Source organism: Homo sapiens, chromosome 17, assembly GCF_000001405.40.
Source record: "Homo sapiens chromosome 17, GRCh38.p14 Primary Assembly".
In the NCBI taxonomy this organism is placed as follows: domain Eukaryota; kingdom Metazoa; phylum Chordata; class Mammalia; order Primates; family Hominidae; genus Homo; species Homo sapiens.
Genome location: NC_000017.11, coordinates 8,087,914 through 8,095,071, shown reverse-complemented (window position 1 = coordinate 8,095,071; position 7,158 = coordinate 8,087,914). Strand labels below are relative to the sequence as shown.

The 7,158-nt window shown below is 50.9% G+C and overlaps 1 non-coding gene across 1 annotated transcript, besides 1 other annotated feature; it reads right to left on the bottom strand.

The window, feature by feature from the left end:
• Positions 1,074 to 1,153: a silencer, noted in NCBI's record as "silent region_8150". NCBI's record gives its function as "represses an Ori minimal core promoter by ATAC-STARR-seq in GM12878 lymphoblastoid cells {active_cell/tissue: GM12878}" and the evidence as "EXISTENCE:reporter gene assay evidence [ECO:0000049][PMID:35858748]".
• Positions 6,925 to 7,016, bottom strand: MIR4314 (microRNA 4314). The gene has a single exon (NR_036201.1). It is a non-coding gene; the product is annotated as a microRNA 4314 (primary transcript).

Below are 7,158 nucleotides of genomic sequence, written 5' to 3'. Positions count from 1 at the left end.
GGCCTCTCTCTGGCGGGATCACAGTGTCTTTGGACAATGACAGGGTAACTGCTCCCCCATCCCTGTGGTGCCCGTGGTAGGGGGATCAGATGGTTTTAGTGTCAACGTAATAGGCGACCCACCCAGAGCTTCACGTGGCTGGGGGCTTTGCGGGCTGCAGTGTGTCTCAGCCCCAGTGCAGACCATGGTCAGTGTTCGTTCCTGGAGTTAGTGGGGATCCACAGGCTGCCTTGGCTGGGGCTGCCATTGTCTAAGAAAACAAAGAAATCATCTAAGAATCTAAGAAATATCTTAAATCATCTAAGAAATATACAGCCAGGCGCGGTGGCTCACGCCTGTAATCCCAGCACTTTGGGAGGCTGAGGCGGGTGGATCATGAGGTCAAGAGAGCGAGACCATCCTGGCCAACATGGTGAAACCCTGTCTCTACTAAAAATACAAAAATTAGCTGGGTGTGGTGGTGTGCGCCTGTAGTTCCAGCTACTCCGGACGCTGAGGCAGGAGAATTGCTTGAACCTGGGAAGCGAAGATTGCAGTGAGCCGAGATCGTGCCACTGCACTCCAGCCTGGTGACAGAGACTCCATCTCAAAGAAAAGAAAAGAAAAGAAAAGAAAACAACATGTGTTTTCAGTACAACCGCAGCTCCACGAAGAGCTCCACGCCTAACCACATTTCCTCCCTAACTAAATTGCCATCCCAAAGCCCTGGCATATTGAAATTCTGGGGCGGCCAACTGTCCCATTACATCCCAGCCCAAGAATCTTCTCTGTTGTCAACCAAACCACTTCTCCCTTTGCTCGCGCGCGCGCGTGTGTGTGTGTGTGTGTGTCTGTGTGTGTGTTGGGGAAGGCTGTCTTTGGCTGTTGAATTTTCACTTTCTGCATCTGTGATCCTTGGAGAAGAGGATCCTCATACCACTGTGCTAAAGAGGTGTGTTTGCAGATATCTCACATGCAGATTGCAACCTAAGGACTTATCCCAAATCACCAGTTTTGTTCACTGTAGAACAAATCAAAGGACTAAGAAATACTCAGGGGCGCCCCCTTGTGGCCACCAGGGGTGAGGGTGAGGCTGAGGCTAGGTGCGCAGTGCAGGCCCCTTTGACCTTGCGCCTGGCTGCCAAGCATTTTAAATAGAGCTATGTATTTGTTTTATTTATTTATTTATTTATTTATTTATTTATTTATTTATTTATTTATTATTCTTTGAGACGGATTTTCGCTCTTGTTGCCCAGACTGGAGTACAATGGCACGATCTCGGCTCACCGCAACCTCCGCCTCCCGGGTTCAAGTGATTCTCCTGCCTCAGCCTCCCGAGTAGCTGGGATTACAGGCATGCACCACCACACCACCCCGGCTAATTTTGTATTTTTAGTAGAGACGGGGTTTCTCCATGTTGGTCAGGCTGGTCTCAAACTCCCAACCTCAGGCGATCCACCCACCTCGGCCTCCCAAAGTGCTGGGATTATAGGCGTGAGCCACCGCGCCTGGCCTGTTTCATATTTTAAAATGGTGTATGCAAAGGATCTGATTCAATGACAGAGACGTGATAGCTCCTCAGTAAGTGACAGCTGCCAGTATTATTGTTGGGTGCGCAGTGCAGGCCCCTTTGACCCTGGGGTTGGAAGCAGCAGTGAAAAGGGCATGGGCATGCTCAGGCACCCTGTCCCCCAAGAGGATGAACACTCCTTGGGCCTCCACAAAGGCAGCATTAGTAGGCATGCCTATCCTGAAAAATGCCCCTGAGCCGGAGAGGGAGGGACCAGGGCGGGTCATTGGAATCTGGTTTTCCAGAAAGGCAGCTTGGAAAGAGATTTATTGGGCAGACACACCTGGTACACTTAGGATGTCCTGCCCTGACTCTGGGGACAGGACATGGGGAGGAGGCTCACATCAAGTTTCTGGAGCCCTGTGAGGTCAGGAGCTCCCCTCAGCTTACACTCTGCCCTCCACTGTTTTTTGGTCAGTCTAAAAGGTCAACTGGTATAATGGGAAGCACACCAGCCTCCTTCCCCAGCTGATCTTGAGCAAGTCCCTCGGCCTCAGTGGTCCCAACCTGTCAGATACATGAGTGGGACGAGAAGACCTGAAAAGCCCTTTCCAGCGTTGACATCCTAGCATCGCTTTGCTTCGTGGCTCTTGTCTGCCTAGATGCTGTTCTAGATTTTGGGAGAGCAGCTGTGAGCTCCCCAGGCACAACCCCTTCTTTCACCCTTCTTATGGGTGCTGGAGAGACAGACAATAAACGCATCAATAAACAGATAAAGATCCTTTTGGGCGGTGGCAAGTGCAGTTGGAGATACAACCAGGTGGCAGGGTAGCATGATGGAGGGCGGAGGGCGGGGAAACATGAGGGACGGTGGTCAGGGAGGGACTCTGAGGAGGTGACACTAGAGTTGAGACCTGGATGACATGAACAACACACGCTTAGGGTCGGGTGCGGTGGCTCACTCCTGTAATCCCAGCACTTTGGGAGGCTGAGACAGGCAAATCGCTTGAGCTCAGGAGTTTGAGACCAGTCCCGGCCACGTGGCAAAATCCCATCTCTACCAAAAGATACAAAAAATTAGCCAGGTGGACTACGCCTGTGGTCCCAGCTACTCGGGAGACCAAGGTGGGAGGATCGCTTGAGCCTGAGAGGTGGAGGTTGCAGTGAGCTGAGATTGCACCACTGCACTCCAGCCTAGGTGACAGAGTGAGACACCGTCTCAAAACAAACAAACAAACAAACAAACAAACAAAACCACTCTTGAAACAGCTTGAACAGCTTGGTTGAAACAGCTTGAACAGCTTGGGGGAAGGGTATTACAAACCCAGGAATGGCAAATGCAAGGGTCCTGAAGGACACATGTTCTGGGTACAGCAAGAAGGCCAGAGTGGCTGGAAAAAGGTGTCGGGAAGGCATGGTCTTGTAGACATGATAAGTCCTTGGATTCGTCTCTTTTCTTTCTTTCTTTCTTTCTTTTTTTTTTTTTTTGAGACGGAGTCTCTCTCTATTGCCCAGGCTGGAGTGCAGTGGCGCTATCTTGGCTTACTGCAATCTCCACCTCCCCTGTTCAAGCGATTCTCCCGTCTCAGCCTCCTGAATAGCTGGGATTACAGGCGCGTGCCACAACGCCCGGCTAATTTTTGTATTTTTAGTAGAGACGGGGTTTTACCATGTTGGTCAGGCTGGTCTTGAACTCCCGACCTCATGATCCGCCTGTGTTGGCCTCCCAAAGTGCTGGGATTATGGGCATGAGCCACCGCGCCTGGCCCTTGGATTCATTTCTACGGACAACCCCATTTTAAGCTCTGGTGAACTTTAAGCAGGGGAGTGGCGTGATTTGATTTTTCTTTCTCTGTGTCTTAGGAGAGTGGGTCCCCAGGAGTTAGTTGCTCCTTGCCTTGCAGGGCTTGGGGTGGGGTCAGGCACGGGGGATACCCCAGCAGTGAGAACTCAGCTTCCTGTGTGGATGGCCCCTAGTTAGCAACCCCAGTGAGTGTGAATCCTTCCCAGAAACCTCTCCTCCTCACTGGCTCCCGCCCCTGGTCCAGGAGAACCAGTTCTTCAGCCCAATGAGCACCTATCAAGAGTCACGCGTCTACGTTTTGGTCATAGCTGGGGAGTGCCCCATCTACATCCTCATGCCTGATCCCGTCCCTGTCCCTGCCCCAGCCACATTGACATCCTCAGCATCCCTGCCTCCATCTCCGTCTCCCTCAGGAACCTAATTCCCACTCCACACTGGAGCCCTGAGCAAACCCAGGGCCACCCTGGGATTTGGGTTGGAGGAGACCTATTGGTAGCAGGATATGACTCAGTTTGCCCAGTCCACTGCCCTGCTTCTCACCAAGCCTCAGCAGCCCCCTGGGGACACAGGGCAAAGGGGAGAGATTAGAAAGAGGAAGCTGGGAGAATTTGCATGGAATTTGCATCTTAAGATTTGCATCTTCAGGCTCCCAGCATCCTCCAAGAGTCATCGAGGTGGTTGAGGAGGGAGATCCCAGGGGGGAGATCCAGCTGGACGGCTTCTGTCTGCAGCCCAGGACAGCCAGCCCTGCCACCCAGAGCTGGGCACAACCCTCATCCTCAGCCTTCTCCCCTCTCCTCCCTCCCTCCCCACCCAACCCCTTTCCCTCCCCTACACCACGCCTTGCCCCTTCTCTCACCCTGAGCCCAAGTCAGCTCTCTTCGGATCTTCACCATAACTCCAAAGCCATCATCGATTCAATCCCCAGCCCTGACCTTGTCCTTGTCATTAACCCATTCAACTATGTTTTCGGTGTCTCCCAGGTACCAAGTATGACACCAGGAGATGGGGACAAAACCAAAAAAAAGTATGGACTAATTTATTAGAGAAAACAGACATCAATCAAAGATGTTAGCTATAGTGCTGTGAGAGCCATGTATAGTGAAATTTGGCTTTCCTGGAAAAAGCAATTATTGAGCTAAGATCAGGAGGAAGAGGAAACGTGACCTCAGTTTGAGAGGTAGAGAGGGAACAGCATGTGCCAAGGCCCTGGGATGGTGACGAGCTGACTTCACTTCCTTCAGGTCTTTACTCAAAAGTCTTCTTCCCAAGGAGCCCTCCTTGGCCACTCTGTATCTAAAATATCCTCCTTTTCTTTTTTCTGAGATGGATTTTCGCTTTTGTTGCCCAGGCTTGATAGCAATGGCATGACCTTGGCTCACTGCAACCTCTGCTTCCTGGGTTCAAGCTATTCTCCTGCCTCAGCCCCCGAGTAGCTGGGATTACAGGCATGCGCCACCATGCCCGGCTAATTTTTATTTTTAGTAGAGACGGGGTTACTCCATGTTGGTCAGGCTGGTCCCGAACTCCTGACCTCAGGTGATCCGCCCACCTCAGCCTCCCAAAGTGCTGGGATTACAGGCATGAGCCACCATGCCCGGCACTCCTCTATTTTTTATATTATCCTTCCCTGTTCTCTCTTTTCTCTTCAGCACTTATCACTATTTAACATACTATTTAATGTATTTGGTTACTAGGTAATATTGTCTGCTTCCCTCACTTGAAGGCAAGCTCCATGGGTGCAGGGGTTTGCTTTGATCGCATTGTATTTTCAGGACCTGACACAGCGCTGAACACACAGTAGGGGTTCGGCCAGTGTCTGTTGATGAATGAATGAAAGGCACGTGGTCCCAGACAGAAGAGAGCAAAGGGGAATGTGAGGGGTGAAGCCAATCAGGCAGGCCGTGGGGGCCACGGGAGGGGATGGTGTCACTGTCCCAAAGGTAAAGAGGAGCCACTGCCAGGCTTGATCAGGGTTGGGAGGAGGGAACATAGAGAGTGATGTGAACAGATTTGGGTCTGGAAAAGATCATTTCAATCCCCAACTCCAGCCACATCTGTGTCTCTAACCTAAACCTGAATTGCAGTTTCGACCCCATTCCACATCCAGTCTGGAACCTACTGGAACCTTCTCTTCATCTCACAATCCCAGCCCCCTCTGACCCTAACTTGGCCTGGGCATTGAATGACCTTCCTTCGATGGTGATGGAAGCGTGCCATCAGGGAGGAAAGCAGGGCTATGCTTCCTGGTTGACAGAAGCTGCTCCTCGGAGGTGAAAGGAAAGAGGACAGGTCCAGAAAAAGGGAATAGGAACGTGCCTGCCTCCTCACTCTCCCTGGGTCCCAAATCCTATCTTTGGAGAGTCTATCTCTGACTCTCTCATAATGCTCTTCACCTTACTCCTAACACCTTCTCCCTATCCTGCGGCTCTGACTTCTGTGATTCTATCAGCAACTAGTTCCCAATCCCAACCTCCCACGCTTATTTTCTTCAGAGCACTTAGTATCCAAAATTATAGTGAACAAATTCTTGTTTACTGTTTCTTTCACTTCTTTCCCAGCTATTCCGTAAGCTCCATGTATGTTTCATTTCTTCTCTGCCTCTGCAGTGCCTAGAACGCCGTGCACCGTGCTCACTACATATCTGAGGGAGGAACGACCTGGTTCCCAACAAACACAGTTCCACTGGAGCTCAGCCCTGCCTCCAGCCCTCTTCCTAGCTTCATTCTTTTTTGGGAGGGAAGTGAGGGTATGTACTTTATGAAATTAAAGGATAACACATAATGAAATGAATGAAGTACCCTAGACGCCCCTCAGATCAAGATAAGAACACCTCCAGCAGCCTATATGGCCTCCCTCTGCCAGGGATACTCACCAGTAGAGGTTGTCTGAGAATTGCTCAGTTTTGCTGGTTCTGGAAGTTCCTATCAATGGATAACAGAACGTATCCCCTTTAATGTCTGGCTCTTTTTGCTCAGTATCATCTTTGTGAGACTCATCCGCATTGCAGTTCATTCTTTTTATTCCTGGGTAGAATTCTATTTTATGATTATACCACAAAATATTGATCATATTAATCCATTATTTAACTTAATTCTTTTGTCTTTTTTTTTTGGAGACGGAGTCTTGCTCTGTTGCCCAGGCTGGAGTGCGGTGGCACGATCTCAACTCACTGCAACTTCCGCCTCCTGAGTTCAAGCGATTCTCCTGCCTCAGCCTCCCAAGTAGCTGGGACTACAGGCGCATGCCACCACGCCTGGCTAATTTTTGTATTTTTAGTAGAGACAAGGTTTCACCATGTTGGCCAGGCTGGTCTCGAACTCTTGAGCTCAGGTGACCCACCTGCCTTGGCTTTCTAAAGTGCTGGGATTACAGGCGTGAGCCACCACGCCCAGCTATTTAACTTAATTCTTATGCCCCAGATTTCACTCTGTCTTCTAATTTAGTTTTTTTTTTTTTTTTTTTGGGCTTCTGATTTTATATCCAACTCCAATCCCTCACCAGTGGATCCTGGCCCCACAGGAAGCAACAGATCCCCTTCTCCTACCCTGATCGTTCCTCCCCGCAGCATCTTCAGGCCTTTGGGCACCCATGTGGTCCCCGAGCCCTAGCTTCAACACCTCCCACCCTTCCAGTCACAGACTCTGGGCCCTGGGGCAGAAGGACAGGCCAGCTTTCTCACTGTGGCCACTACCTGTCCCATTTCCCAGAGAGGAATGGCCTGGAGGCTGGCCAGCTGCGCTGCCACTTAGTGCCCCTCCCCCTCCCCTCCCCCGCCCACCAGTGGCCTCAGAACCAATGCAAGTCACTCACTGCCCATGGCCCTGCTTAGTAGGGGTGCCTGGCACTGTAGCCAATGGGGAC